The sequence below is a fragment of the Homo sapiens genome, chromosome 2 (assembly GCF_000001405.40).
Source record: "Homo sapiens chromosome 2, GRCh38.p14 Primary Assembly".
NCBI lineage: Eukaryota > Metazoa > Chordata > Mammalia > Primates > Hominidae > Homo > Homo sapiens.
This window is the reverse complement of record NC_000002.12, coordinates 196,683,785-196,700,073: the sequence shown is the minus strand read 5'-3', so window position 1 is coordinate 196,700,073 and position 16,289 is coordinate 196,683,785. Positions and strand designations below refer to the sequence as shown.

Genomic DNA, 16,289 nt, shown 5'->3' with positions numbered 1-16,289 from the left:
GTTTTATGTTCAATTTTAGGTAAGCTGATAAGATAAAACCCATATATTAATTTACATAAGAGATATTCCTCACTATCTCCAACATGATTACAGCTATTCTTTAGTCACCACTTTGTAATATCCTTTATTTTAAGTGTGTGAACCTACCACACCTGCTTCTAAATAAAAGCAAAAACACATTCCAAACTAGATTACTATAATCTGTAACTCATATTTTCCTCTGTTCAAGATATTTTCTATGAGAAGGCACACTAAGCTGGGCACAGTGGCTCACACTTGTAATCCCAGCACTTTAGGTGGCTGAGGTGGGAGAATCACTTGAGGCCAGGAATTCAAGACCAGTCTGGTCAACATAGCAAAACCCTGTCTCTACAAAAAATTAAAAAATTAGCTGGGCATAGTGGTGCATGCCTGTAGTCCTAGTTACTTGAGAGGTTGAGGCAGGAGAATTGCTTGAAACCAGCTGGTCGAGGCTACACTGAGCCGTGATGGTGCCATTGCACTCCAGCCTGGAAGACAGAGCAAGACCCCCATTTCAAAAAAAAAAAAGGCACAGTAGTCTAGAGCATTGTTTTCTCCTTAGCAGTTGCCTTGGCTAGAAGAATTTTCATTTTTGACGTTCAACACTTGATAAAAATCTATGGAAAAGCCCTTGTATACCACCTACCGTAAAATCATACACCTTTAATATAAAAACTTATACCCAATATTAGGCTTTGGTGGATTATTAACTATTAGACCAAGTATTTGTCCTGTCAGAATTAATATTTATTTCATACATTATTATACATATTCATAATTCAGTTTTTAAAAGTTTTTAAAATCACTGTGTTGCTCCCACTAAGGCAAAGGAAAATATGTTTTAAAAAGCATTTAGACCAGTAGAGTATTGGTTTCAAAATAACCTGAGCAAAATGTAGACTGCTATCAATAAATAGGAAACTCATGATGATAAATATATTATCACAAAGTTAGTTCATCATTGATTAATTTTTGCGGAAAACACAGTGCTCTTTGCCAAAATGTTATCTGTTTTGGGAACTATGATACAAAATCATTCCATGAATGTAACATTACAGTTTAGGATTATGTTGACCAAGTCTTCAGCAGCAAATAAATTGTAAGGATGGTCAATAATACCACAAAAGCAAAGCTACAAGAATTGAACAATGAGAACACATGGACACAGGAAGGGGAACATCACACACTGGGGCCTGTTGCCGGGTGGGGAGAGGGGGGAGGGATAGCATTAGGAGATATACCTAATGTTAAACGACGAGTTAATGGGTGCAGCACACCAACGTGGCACATGTATACATATATAACAAACTTGCACGTTGTGCACATGTACCCTAAAACTTAAAGTATAATTTTAAAAAAAAGCTTATTTAAAATTCGATTCAAACTTCTACAAATTAAGATGTCTCAGTGTGCTGTAAAGCATAGGTAAGAACATATAAAAAACCAAGAACTAGAGTTAACCTAAAATATGCTAGCTCTAACAAATGCTAAACACTCAAATATAACTATCTTCTTGAAATGGGGAAAGTTTTTTTTAAAGAATAACTTAAATTATCTGAGTCTTCTATAAAAGGTGACCAGAAATTTAAAAAATAATGGAGCTTTTTCCCTATCAATACAATTCCCTCTTTCAGGCAAAGGCATAAAGAAATTCCATTAATCTTTTAAATATACTTTTAAAACAATAATTTTCCTATTTTGCCACTAAAGAGAATGCTAATGTACAAACGAAAATTGAGCAAAATCAAAATGTGATAATATTTGACAAAGGCTCACTTATTTAAATATTATGACACACACACAAAATAATTGTTCCAAGTTGCTAAGGGAAAGTGGATGTTAAGGCAGTTACTTAAATTACTGTTTACAGATTTAAATAGGCCCTGTACTTTCATCAACAGGAGACAAGAAATTAGAAACCACTTAAATGAGTGAATATCTCAGGTTTTGAGTTACAGAAGAGTGAACTGAAATTAACTTTTGCTTAAATACTCTTGGTAATATACTATAAACATTATTAGTACACAGAGCAAAACAGAAACTGGGGAATCACTTGAGAAACATCATACAGAGAAAGATACCAAACATTAGAATATCCATTTTAACTCAGAAACACAAAGATACCATTCTTTAGAAAAGCAGGAAGTAAAAATAGGAAGAATTATCTTAAGATATGAAAGACAGGTTGCCAAAGATCAACAGTAAGCCACAAAATTATTTCTAAAATCATTTTTTAAATCTAGGTGAGCTGTACAAGTTAGCAGAAGCTGTTAGAAGAATACACAAAACCAGTAGGATACTGGCATCTTGGTAAAGCTACTTTATAAGCAGATTGTAAGCATTTTTTAAAGTTTTTTATTATTTTGAATTTTTTATTCAAAATATTTAACAACAGTATGACATGAGCCCCAGCAAATCAAACCAACTTAGACATCTGCATGAGTGTACACTGACAATGTCATCCTGGTTTTAAGAAATAATACATTTTAGTTCATTTTTAAATTTCAAGTCATTAAAGTCCCAGTTGTACAGGGAATTATATTCCTGTCTGGTGCTACAATTTTAAAATATATGTTTAAACCCCAAAAGAGAAGTGGGGAGGAAAATCATTCAAACTGAACTCAGGCATGGTAACCTTCCTACATTTGGATCTTTTCTCACTGTGGTTCCCTGCGTGACTGCCAGTGGTAATGGAATTAAATTGCACTATCACTACAGGCTAAAATGGCAAAAAACAACAACAACAAAAAAAACCCCTGAAATTAGGAAATATGAAAGAAATAGCAGAGAATAATATTTATTATTGCAATATGATATTAATCCTTACTGCCTGGCAAAACAGACATGACCTTCTTTGTATTCTAGTCAATCAATGTTTTTAAAGCACCTATTATGTATTAGGCATTATGCTAGGCAAGGGAATATAAAGATGAGTAACTACTGTTCCTGCATTAGAAGAGAGTGAATGCAGATGCATAAACAGGCCAATTTCTAATCAATGTAGTAATTATTCTGATATGGATGTGCAGAGTATACTGTGGGATACCTACACTAGAAGAGATCCTCTTGGCATTGCAGGCCATGAGAGGTTAAGAACCTGCCCAGGTCACACAGTAAATGGAGGTTGAAACCAGGTCTATCTGAATTCAAGTTTGTGATGTTACACACACAACACACAGTCATGTGTATCTCCAAAAATCAATGGGTTAGACCAGATGGTACTCTTTATAAAGAATTTCAAGTTTTTACTCTCAAAGAACAAAAATACACTGCCAGCATTGAATGACAATAGATTTAATGATATTGCTAAGATTTAAAAACAAATCCTGAAATCCCTAGCTCATTCCTCAAACTCATATAGCCAACCGAAGCATTTCCAGGCAGGCATGGTCAGAGACGCTTCTGGGTGGAGACAGAGCTGCAAGCTAGAATTGCGTTATCTATGAGTCATCATTGGGAACCTGTAATCAAGACATGGTAGGCAGGCAAAAATCAACACTGACCAAATCACTGGCAAGATCTGTCAAAGTCATTAATAGGGTAAGGCTAGGCCTGCTCACTGGCAATGGATTCAGGAAAGAATCAGTCAGACTGAGAATGTGGTCTCCCAAAGGAACCCAGCTGAGGCTGGCCAACCAGCAAAGGACATGGCTGAATCTTTAATTCTGCAGAGAGAGAGGGTTGGTCTGAAATAATACCAGGGATTACAGCTAATGGATCTTGTCATTCCAATAGGCACTTACAGGCTTTTTTTTTTTCTCTGAGACAGTTCAGATACTAAGAATTCAATAAATGTTAGCTATCTGCTACATGTTCTGTGTGTATTAATTTACTTAAGCTCAAACATCCACAGTTATAGCATTATTATCCTCATTTTGACAGATTAAGAAACTGAGGCTCAGACAAGTTAAGGATCATACCCGAGGTCACAGCCAAAACTCAAAAGTAGGAAATCTGGCTTGAAAACCATGACCATATAAGAAGATTTAGACTTAGTCTGTATAATTTTTCATAGTTGAAGTAATGAGCAGCTTATAACAGTTTGAAAGACTTTAGCTCAGGTTAAAACAGAGTCACATCGGGGTCTTCTAGGAATTTTCAAAGATTATTTGCATGCTTAAAAGCAAGTAAGTAATACTTTTTCATGTATTCGAAAGCACACAAGAAAATTATTAGCTACTTAACAGAATGACCATATCTTCAAATCCCCTTTACTTGGAGAAGATTTTTTTTTTTTTTTTTGAGACGGAATCTCGCTCTGTCGCCCAGGTTGGAGTGCAGTGGCCTGATCTTGGCTCACTGCAAGCTCCGCCTCCCGAGTAGCTGGAACTACAGGCATCCGCCACCACGCCCGGCTAATTTTTTCTATTTTTAGTAGTGACAGGGTTTCACCGTGTTAGCCAGGATGGTCTCAATCTCCTTTCCTCGTGATCCACCTGCCTCGGCCTCCCAAAGTGCTGGGATTACAGGTGTGAGCCACCGCGCCCCACCTGGAGAAGGTATTTTAAGAACTGTACCACTTATTTGTAATGCACTGACCTTGTCAAATAGCTTTCAGAAATCAGACTTATTACTGATTGCCTAATGGAGGAAACTGTCTGATGAGAAAAAAAATACAAGTTTCTTGCTCATAATTTATGGAAGAGGAACTATTTTAAAACATCAGATATATTTGTATTTTTCAGTAACACAGATTGTGAAGGCAAATGTTTAATAAATCCCTTAAATTCTTGGTTTCTCAAATCACTATTGTTTGAATACTGTAAGAATCTCTGCTTAGATTTTTAATAATTATGAAAACACAAAGAAAACCCATCTCCTGACCTCTGGTTGTTGTTATTTCTGAACTCATTAGTCATTAATTGCTATTTAGACTGATCTTTTTATACCCACCCCATGGTAATCAGAAGTGACTTGCTGAAGTTCTAGGGAAGCCATTTGATCTGCCAGGTGCTTATTCTCTTCTTCAAGAGTCTGCAGGTTATGAGTTAATGTATTTATGTCTACCTTTAAAGAAACAAAAGTAAAAAAGAAACTATTTACGCCAGATGCAAAAAGTATTATCTTATTTTTAAAATGACAATTACAACTGTAAAATGGACAGTATTGTCCATATGTTTCCTTGCCTCTAAATGTGGAAATATGACCAGTCAGTCTGATAGCTCTATGATTTTTTATTTTTTACTTTTTTGAGACGTAGTCTCACTCTGTCACCCAGGCTGGAGTGCAGTTGTGTGATCTTGGCTCACTGCAAGCTCTGCCTCCCGGGTTCAAGCAATTCTCCTGCCTCAGCCTCCTGAGTAGCTAGGATTACAGGCACGCACCACCATGCCCAGCTAATTTTTGTATTTTTAGTAGAAACGGGGTTTCATCATGTTGTTCAGGCTGGTCTCGAACTCCTGACCTTGTGATCTGCCCGCCTCAGCCCCACAAAGTGCCGGGATTACAGACATAAGCCACAGAGTCCAGCCACTCTATAATGTTTTTAAGAACCCTTTTCTCTGTGTGGTTTGTGGGTCTAACATTTTTTCTAAAAAGAACCCTTTTTCTCTCTTTTCCATTTTCTGAGTTTTTCTAGTTGCCCTCAGCAAAAGGGATATCGTAAATTATATAGTTCCCCTTTACTATAAGTTAAAGTCCTTCTGGTATTTACTTAAAATCAATTCAAGCTTATGAATATAGATGCAAAAATCTTCCAGCCAGGAGCGGTGGCTCACGCCTGTAATCCCAGGTCTTTGGGAGGCTGAGGCAGGTGGATCACCTGAGGTCAAGAGTTCGAGACCAGCCTGACCAACATGGAGAAACCTCATTGCTACTAAAAATGCAAAATTAGCCAGGCGTGGTGGCACATGCCTATAATCCCAGCTACTTGGGAGGCTGAGGCAGGAGAACTGCTCGAACCAGGGAGGCAGAGGTTGCGGTGAGCTGAGATCACGCCATTGCACTCCAGCCTGGGTAACAAGAGCGAAACTCCATCTCAAAAAAAAAAAAAAAAAAAAATCTTCCACAAAATATTAGCAAAATGAACCCAGCAATATATAAAAAGATAATAAATTAGGAATAAGTGAAGCTTAACTCAGTAATGCAAAGCTTGTTGAACATTCAAAATAAATCAGTATAATACACCGTTTCAATAGACTATAGAAGAAAACCCATATAACCATCTTAATACTCGCAGTAAAAGAATTTCATAAAATTCAACATCAATTCATTATAAAAACTCAGCAAACCAGAAATGAAAGGGAACCACCTCTAGTTGATTAAAAAATGTATCCATAAAAATCCTACAGCTAATATCAATATTAATAGTGAAAAACTTTCCCCCTAAAACTGGGAAAAGGCAAAGGTATCCACTTTCACCGCTCCTATTCCACATCATACAGGAGGCCATAGCTGGTGCGATAAGGCAAGAAAACATAATAAAAGGCATTAAGATTGGAAAAGGAGAAATAAAACTGTCTCTACTCGAGACATATGATTGTCTAAAAAGGAAATCCCGAAGAACCTCCAAAAAAGATGCTAGAGTAAGTGAGTGTGTCAAGGCTGAAGGATATAAGGGCAAATCTATTGTATTTCTATATATTAACAATGTACAATTGGAAATTCACGTTTCATTAAAATGCCATTTAAAACAGTACTAATACTATGAAATTCTTTAAGTACAAATCTAACAAAATATGTCTAAGATATGATGTGCTGAAAATTATGAAATACTGAGTGAAATAAAAAACCAAAATAAAACAGAGAGATAATCATGTTCATTTACCGACATGTGTTGCATAACAATGTTTCAGTCAATGACGGACCACATACACAACAATGGTTGGAGCAACAAGCTACACTATATAACCTAGACATGTCAGGGGCTCAAAATAATGGAGGAGAATCTACCAAGCAAATGGAAAACAGAAAAAAGCAGGGGTTGCAATCCTAGTTTCTGAAAAACCAGACTTTGAACCAATAAAGACAAAAAAAGACAAAGAAGGGCATTACATAATGGTAGAGAGTTCAATTCAACAAGAATTATATCTTAAATATATATGCATCCAACACAGGAGCACCCAGATTCACAAAGCAAGTTCTTAGAGACCTTCAAAGAGACAGACTCCCACACAATAACAGTGGGAGATTTTAGCATTCCACTGACAATATTAGATCATGGAGACACAAAATGAACAAAGATATTCAGGATCTGAACTCAGCACTAGATCAAATGGAAGTGACAGGTATTTACAGATCTCCCCACCCCAAAACAACAAATATACATTCTTCTCATTGCCACTTGGCACTTACTCTAAAATTGATCACATAATTGGAAGCAAAACACTCCTCAGCAAATGTGAAAGAACGGAAATTATAACAGTCTCTTGGACCACAACACGATCAAATTAGAATTCAAGACTAAGAAATCCATTCAAAACCACACAACTACATGGAAATTGAACAACCTGCTCCTGAATGACTCCTGGGTAAGTAATGAAATTAAGGCAAAATTCAATAGGTTATTTAAAACTAATGAGAAAAAAGAGATAACATACCTGAATCTCTGGGACACTGCTAAGGCACTATGAAGAGGAAAATGTATAGCACTAAATTCCCACATCAAAAAATTAGATCTCGGCCGGGCGCGGTGGCTCACGCCTGTAATCCCAGCACTTTGGGAGGCTGAGGCGGGTGGATCATGAGGTCAGGAGATCGAGACCATCCTGGCTAACAAGGTGAAACCCCGTCTCTACTAAAAATACAAAAAATTAGCCGGGCGCGGTGGCGGGCGCCTGTAGTCCCAGCTACTGGGGAGGCTGAGGCAGGAGAATGGCGTGAACCCGGGAAGCGGAGCTTGCAGTGAGCCGAGATTGCGCCACTGCAGTCCGCAGTCCGGCCTGGGCGACAGAGCGAGACTCCGTCTCAAAAAAAAAAAAAAAAAAAAAAAATTAGATCTCAAGTTTACAACCTAACTTCACAACTAAAGGAACTAGAGAACAAAGAGCAAACAAATCTCAAAGCTAGCAGAAGACAAGAAATAATCAAAATCAGAGGTGAACTGAAGGAGATAGAGACACAAAAACCATTCAAGAGATCAACAAATCCAGGAGCTGTTTTTGTTTTGTTTTTGAGATGGAGTCTTGCTCTGTTGCCCAGGCTGGAGTGCAGTGGCGCAATCTCAGCTCACTACAACCTCCGACTCCCAGGTTCAAGCAATTCTTCTTCCTCAGTCTCCCGAGTAGCTGGGACTACAGGCCCATGCCACCACGCCTGGCTAATTTTTGTATTTTTAGTAGAGACGAGGTTTCACCATTTTGGCCAGGCTGATCTCAAACTCCTGACCTCGTGATCCACCTGCCTCGGCCTCCCAAAGTGCTGGGATTACAGGCGTGAGCCACCGTGTCCAGCCCGGGAGCTGTTTTAAAAAAAAAAAAATAGATAGACTTCTAGCTAGACTAATAAATAAGAAAAGAGAGTAGTTTCAAATAAACACAATCAGAAATGATAAAGGAGATATTACCACTGACCCCACAGAAATACAAACAACCATCAGAGAATATTAAAAACACCTCTATGTACATAAACTAGAAAATATAGAAGAAACAGATAAATTCCTAGATATATACACCCTCCCAAGACTTAACCAGGAAGAAGAAATTGAATCCCTGAACAGACTAATAACGAGTTCAGAAATTGAGGCAGTAACAAATAGCCTAGCAACCAGAAAAAGCCAGCATCAGACAGATTCACAGCTGAATTCTATCACAGGTACAAAGAAGAGCTGGTACCATTTCTACTGAAATGATTCCAAAAAATTGAAAAGGAGTGACTACTCTGTAACTTATTCTATGAGGCCAGCAGCATCCTGATACCAAAACCTGGCAGAGATACAATGACAAAAAAAGAAAACTTCAGGCCAATATCCTTGATGAACATTGATGCAAAAATCCTCAGTGAAATACTGGCAAACTGAATCCAGCAGCATATCGAAAAGCTTATCTGCCATGATCAAGTAGGCTACATCCCTGGGATGCAAGGTAGTTCAACATATGCAAATCAATAAATGTGATTCATCACATAAACAGAACTAAAGAGAAAAACCACATGATTATCTCAATAGATGCAGAAAAGGCCTTCAATAAAATTCAACATCCCTTCACGTTAAAAACTCTCAATAAACTAGGTATTGAAGGAACATACCACAAAATAATAAGAGCCATCTATGACAAACCCACAGCCAATATCATACTGAATTGACAAAAGGTAGAGCCATTTCCCTTGAAAACTGGCACAAGACAAGCATGCCCTCTCTCACTACTCCTATGCAACACAATATTGGAAGTTCTGGCCAAGGCAATCAGGAAAGAGAAAGAAATAAAGGGCATTCAAATAGAAAAAGAGGAAGTCAAACTATCCCTGTTTGCAGATGACATGATCCTGTAACTCTTTTTTTTTTTAATATTCACTATGGATATGATTTATTCCAGAGAGATCATACAGAACTCTTATCAGCTTATCTAGAACCAAAGCACAGGTCTTAGCTTTCCATGAAAAACTGGCAAATGAATTTATATGTATATGTATTTATATGAATTTACCTATTTTAAATTACATATATGAATTTACATATTAACTTCAAGTATATGTACAATTAAAACGTTTTAGGTAGGTTTTTTATTTTATTATTATTATACTTTAAGTTTTAGGGTACATGTGCACAATGTGCAGGTTAGTTACATATGTATACATGTGCCATGCTGGTGTGCTGCACCCATTAACTCATCATTTAGCATTAGGTATATCTCCTAAAGCTATCCCTCCCCCCTCCTCCCTCCCGCCTCCCCACAACAGTCCCCAGAGTGTGATGTTCCCCTTCCTGTGTCCATGTGTTCTCATTGTTCAATTCCCACCTATGAGTGAGAATATGCGGTGTTTGGTTTTTTGTTCTTGCGATAGTTTACTGAGAATGATGATTTCCAATTTCATCCATGTCCCTACAAAGGACATGAACTCATCATTTTTTATGGCTGCATAGTATAAACAGAACCAAAGACAAAAACCACATGATTATTTCAATAGAGGCAGAAAAGGCCTTTGACAAAATTCAACAACCCTTCATGCTAAAAACTCTCAATAAATTAGGTATTGATGGGATGTATCTCAAAATAATAAGAGCTATCTATGACAAACCCACAGCCAATATCATACTGAATGGGCAAAAACTGAAAGCATTCCCTTTGAAAACTGGCACAAGACAGGGATGCCCTCTCTCACCATTCCTATTCAACATAGTGTTGGAAGTTCTGGCCAGGGCAATTAGGCAGGAGAAGGAAATAAAGGGTATTCAATTAGGAAAAGAGGAAGTCAAATTGTCCCTGTTTGCAGATGACATGATTGTATATCTAGAAAACCCCGTTGTCTCAGCCCAAAATCTCCTTAAGCTGATAAGCAACTTCAGAAAAGTCTCAGGATACAAAATCAATGTACAAAAATCACAAGCATTCTTATACACCAATAACAGACAAACAGAGAGCCAAATCATGACTGAACTCCCATTCACAATTGCTTCAAAGAGAATAAAATACCTAGGAATCCAACTTACAAGGGATGTGAAGGACCTCTTCAAGGAGAACTACAAACCACTGCTCAATGAAATAAAAGAGGATACAAACAAATGGAAGAACATTCCATGCTCATGGGTAGGAAGAATCAATATCATGAAAATGGCCATACTGCCCAAGGTAATTTACAGATTCAATGCCATCCCCATCAAGCTACCAATGACTTTCCTCACAGAATTGGAAAAAACTACTTTAAAGTTCATATGGAACCAAAAAAGAGCCCACATCGCCAAGTCAATCCTAAGCCAAAAGAACAAAGCTGGAGGCATCACACTACCTGACTTCAAATTATACTACAAGGCTACAGTAACCAAAACAGCATGGTACTGGTACCAAAACACAGATATAGATCAATGGAACAGAACAGAGCCCTCAGAAATAACGCCGCATATCTACAACTATCTGATCTTTGACAAACCTGAGAAAAACAAGCAATGGGGAAAGAATTCCCTATTTAATAAATGGTGCTGGGAAAACTGGCTAGCCATATGTAGAAAGCTGAAACTGGATCCCTTCCTTATACCTTATACAAAAATTAATTCAAGATGGATTAAAGACTTAAATGTTAGACCTAAAACCATAAAAACCCTAGAAGAAAACCTAGGCATTACCATTCAGGACATAGGCATGGGCAAGGACTTCATGTCTAAAACACCAAAAGCAATGGCAACAAAAGCCAAAATTGACAAATGGGATCTAATTAAACTAAAGAGCTTCTGCACATCAAAAGAAACTACCATCAGAGTGAACAGGCAACCTACAAAATGGGAGAAAATTTTCGCAACCTACTCATCTGACAAAGGGCTAATATCCAGAATCTACAGTGAACTCAAACAAATTTACAAGAAAAAAACAAACAACCCCATCAAAAAGTGGGCGAAGGACATGAACAGACACTTCTCAAAGGAAGACATTTATGCGATCCTATATCTCAAAAACCCTATTGCCTCAGCCCCAAAGCTTCTTAAGCTGATAAGCAACTTCAGCAGTCTCAGGATACAAAATCAATGTGCAAAGATCGTTAGCATTCCCATACATCAACAACAGTAAAGCTGACAGCCAAATCATGAATGAACTCCCATTCACAGTTGCCACAAAAAGAATAAAATACCTAGGAATACAGCTACTAGGTAGGTGAAAGGTCTCTACAAGAACTACAAAACACTGCTCAAAGAAATGAGAGATGACATTAACAAATGGAAAAACATTCCATGCTCATGGATAAGAAGAATCATGTCATTAAAATGGCCATACTGCCCAAAGCAATTTACAGATTCAATGCTATTCCCATTAAACTACCATTGACATTCTTCACAGAACTCGAAAATACTATTTTAAAATTTATATGGAACCAAAAAAGAGCCTGAACAGCTAAGAAAATCCTAAGCAAAAAGAACAAAGCTGGAGGTACCATGCTACTCAACTTCAAATTATGCTACAGGGCTACAGTAACCAAAACAGCATGCATGGTACTGGTACAAGAACAGACACATAGACCAATGGAACAGAATAGAGAACCCAGAAATAAGACCACACACCTTCAGCTATCTGACCTTTGACAAACCTGACAAAAACAAGCAATGGGGAAAGGATTCCCTGTTAAATAAATGGGACTGGGATAACTGGCTAGCTATATGCAGAAGATGGAAACTGGACCCCTTCCCTATGCCATATACAAAAATTAACTCAAAATAGCTTAAGGACTTAAATATAAAACCCAGAACTATAAAAACCCTGGAAGACAACCTAGGTAATACTATTCAGAACATAGGCACGAGCAAAGATTTCATGACAAAGACGTCAAAAGCAATCGCAACGAAAGCAAAAATTGACAAATGGGATCTAATTAAACTAAAGAGCTTCTGCATAGCAAAAGAAACTATCACCAGAGTAAACAGACAGTCTACAGAATGAAAGACTATACATCTGACAAAGGTCTAATATCCAGCATCTATAAGGAACTTAAATTTGCAAGAAAAAGACAACCTCATTAAACAGTGGGCAAAAAGCATAAACAGATACTTCTTAAAAGAAGACATAAATGTGGCCAAGAATCATATGAAGAAAGCTCAACATCACTGAACATCAGAGAAATGTAAATCAAAACCACAATGAGATACCATCTCACACCAGTCAGAATGACTACTATTAAAAAGTCAAAAAATCAAATAATAACAGATGCTGGTGAGGTTGTGGAGAAAAAGGAACACTTGCACACTGTTGGTGGGAGTGTAAATTAGTTCAACCATTGTGGAAGACAGTGTGGCGATTCCTCAAATTCCTGAAGACAGAAATACCATTTGACCCAGCAATCTCATTACTGGGTATATACCCAAAGGAATATACATCATTCTATTATAAAGATACATGCATGTGTGTATGTTCACTGGAGCACTATTCACAACAGCAAATACATGGAATCAACCTAAATGCTCATCAATGATAGACTGGATAAAGCAAATGTGGTACATATACACCATGGAATACTATGCAGCCATAAAAAAGAATGAGATCACGTCCTCGTGATCATGGATGGAGCTGGGGGCCATTATCCTTAGCAAACTAACACTGGAACAGAAAACCAAATGTTGCATGTTCTCTTATAAGTGGGAGCTAAATGATGAGAATATATGGATACACAGAGGAGAACAACAAGTACTGGGTGTGTCAGAGGGTGGAGGGTGGGTGGAGGGAGAGAATCAGGAAAAATAATAATATCTGGGTGATGAAATAATCTGCATAACAAATCCCCGTAACACACATTTACCTATGTAACAAACCTGCACATGTACACTGAACTTAAAAGTTAAAAAAAAAAACCTAGGTGTGACCACTGAGGTTTGTGTAAGTACTCTCTATTGCACGACAACAAAACTGCCCAGAGATGCATTTCTGAGAATGTATCTCCATCAAGTGACAACCTAACTGTATTAGAAGATTCAATATTGCTGAGATGTTAACTCTAATTTCAGTTGAAATCCCCACAAAACATCATTAAGGTCATTCTAAAACATACATGAAAAAGCAAATGAACTAAAATAGCTAAAACACTTTAGGAAAATAACACCGTTGGAGGACTCTACCTAATTTCACGATTTATTATAAAGCTACAATAATCATAGTCTGTGGAAAGGCTACTGTGTTGTTGAACTTGCCCAGCTGTGGGTGCAGCCATGTACCAGGCAGCCCAAGCCTGACATAAAGTAAATTCCCAGGAGAAGTCTTTCCTGGGTTTTGAATTTGCAGTAACAGGTGTAAGCATTCCAGCAGCAGTTTGTTGATCATGTGATATCAGAAATGCAAGCTAAAGGACAGTTGCCAACTGTGGGAATGAGTGTAAAAGACATGCCCCAAAACAAACATAAGTAAACTGTTGAAAGCAAGAGACACAAAATCTTGAAAGTATCAAGAGAGGAGTGGCTCCTGATGTACAAGATAATCTCAGTAAGATTAACAGCTGATTTCTCATCAGAAAGTTGAGGCCAGAAGGCAGTGGGATGACATATTCAAAATGCTGAAAGAAAAACATTCAACCGGCTGGGCGCGGTGGCTCACACCTATAATCCCAGCACTTTGGGTGGCTGAGGCGGGCGGATCACGAGGTCAGGAGATCAAGACCATCCCTGGATAACAAGGTGAAACCTCGTCTCTACTAAAAATACAAAAAAAATTAGCCAGGCGTGGTGGTAGGCGCCTGTAGTCCCAGCTACTTGGGAGGCTGAGGCAGGAGAATGGCATGAACCCGGGAGGTGGAGCTTGCAGTGAGCCGAGATGGCACCGCTGCACTCCAGCCTGGGTGACAGAGCGAGACACTGTCTCAGAAAAAAAAAAAAGAAAAGAAAAAGAAAAACATTCAACCATGAATTCTAAATTCAGCAAACCTATCCTCAAAAACAACAGAGAAATTAAGACATTCCCAGATAAATAAAAATGGAAATAATTCATACAAGAGCTTTTCTTCTAGTTTAAACACACTCTTGAGAATGTGGTTCTTCAGACTTCACCTAAAACGTGGAGTAATTTCTCCAGGTCCCCATTTTTGATGGGGTTTGGATTGTGAAGCTAGAAAGCATACGCTGTAAGAAATACTAAAGGAAGTTCTTTAGGCTAAAATAAAAGGGCACTAGACAATATCTGGAATCCACATAAGAAATAAAAGGTAACAGTAAAGGTAGCAACATAGGTGTATATAAAAGGTAGTATATATTTTTGTTTGTAATTCTTTTTGTTACCTATAAACCAAAATACAGAATAAAAGAAATGATAAGGGAGTTAAAATGGTGAACTAGAAATATATATTTAACATAAAAGATGGCACTAATTGAGAAATAGAGGAACAAAAAGCAAAAAACGAAACAAAAAAAGCAAAATGGCAGATATAAATCCTACCTTAACAGTAATTATATTAAATACAAATGGATTAAACCACTGCAATTACAAAGCACAGAGATAGGCAAAATTAGTTTTTAAAAAAACAACTATATGCTGTTTATAAAATATACACTTTAGATCCAAATACCCAAATGGGGTTGAAAGCAAAAGGATGAAAAATATATACCATATAAATTAAACAGTAATCTAAAAAGAGCTAGAATGATTGTACTAATATTAGACAAAATAGACATTAAGAAAAAACTGGTGAGATAAAGGGCATTATACACTGAAAAAGTGTTTACTCATCAAGAAGATGTATCATTTATAAATATATATGCACCTAACAGAGGCCACAAGTATATGAAGCAAAAAATGACAGTATTGAAGGAACAAATAAATAATTTAACAGTAATAGTTGGAGACTTCAATACCCCATTTTCATTAATCAGCAGAACAACTGGACAGAAGATTAATGCGGAAACAGAAGACATGAACAACACTATAAACCAAGTAGACCTAACGGACACCTATAGAACAATCCTCCCAATAATAGCAAAATACACATTTTTCTCAAATGCACATGGAACATTCTTCAGGGTATAACCCTGTTATACCACAAAACAACTCTCAATAAATCTGAAAGGACTGATATCATGCAAAGTATGTTCTCCAACCACAATGGAATAAAATTAGAAATCAATAAAAGAATATTTGGGGAATTCACATATGTGAATAAACTAAACATGTCACTTCTAAACAACCAATGGGTCAAAAAAGAAATCTCAAGGGAAATTAAAGAACAGTTTGAGATAAACAAAAATGAAAACACAAAATAACAAAACATCTCATATGCAGCTAAAGCAGTGCAGAGAGGGAAATTTATAGCTGCAGAAACTTATTTTTTATTTTTTTATGGGCACTCCCCTGAACCAGAATAGGTTCAGAGTGACTCCTATAGGCACTTACATTTAAAAAATGAAATATTTCTCAATCAATAACCTAAGCTTTTTTTTAGAAACTAGACAAAGAAAAGCAAATTAAACCCCAAGCAAACATAAAGAAGGTAACAAGATTAACGCAGAAATAAGATAGAGAAAAATCTATAAAAACTTCCACAAGTTGGTTCTCTAGAAAGATCAACAAAATTGACAAACCTTTAGCTGGACTAACCAAGAACAAAATACAGGAGACACAAATTATTAAAATTAGCAGTCAGAGAGAGAACTCTGCTACTGACCTTACAGAAAGAAAGACAAGGGGCTACTCTGAAAATAGTATGCTAACAAATTA

The 16,289-nt window shown here is 37.1% G+C and overlaps 1 protein-coding gene and 1 non-coding gene across 15 annotated transcripts in view; one reads left to right on the top strand and one right to left on the bottom strand.

Moving 5' to 3' along the window:
* The window catches only part of CCDC150 (coiled-coil domain containing 150), a 93,092-nt gene that overhangs the window by 32,733 nt on the left and 44,070 nt on the right, over positions 1–16,289 (bottom strand). For 12 of the 14 annotated variants that reach the window (XM_006712438.4, XM_017003863.2, XM_017003861.2 and 9 more), the window contains one exon: positions 4,915–5,028. The exons of the other annotated variants lie outside the window; for them this stretch is intronic. In XM_006712438.4, the coding sequence (XP_006712501.1) occupies positions 4,915–5,028 (114 nt within the window). The remainder of the gene's footprint in view (positions 1–4,914; positions 5,029–16,289) is intronic. 14 annotated transcript variants of the gene reach the window in all.
* LOC124900529 (small Cajal body-specific RNA 16) lies at positions 13,744–13,928 on the top strand. Its single transcript, XR_007088722.1, has one exon.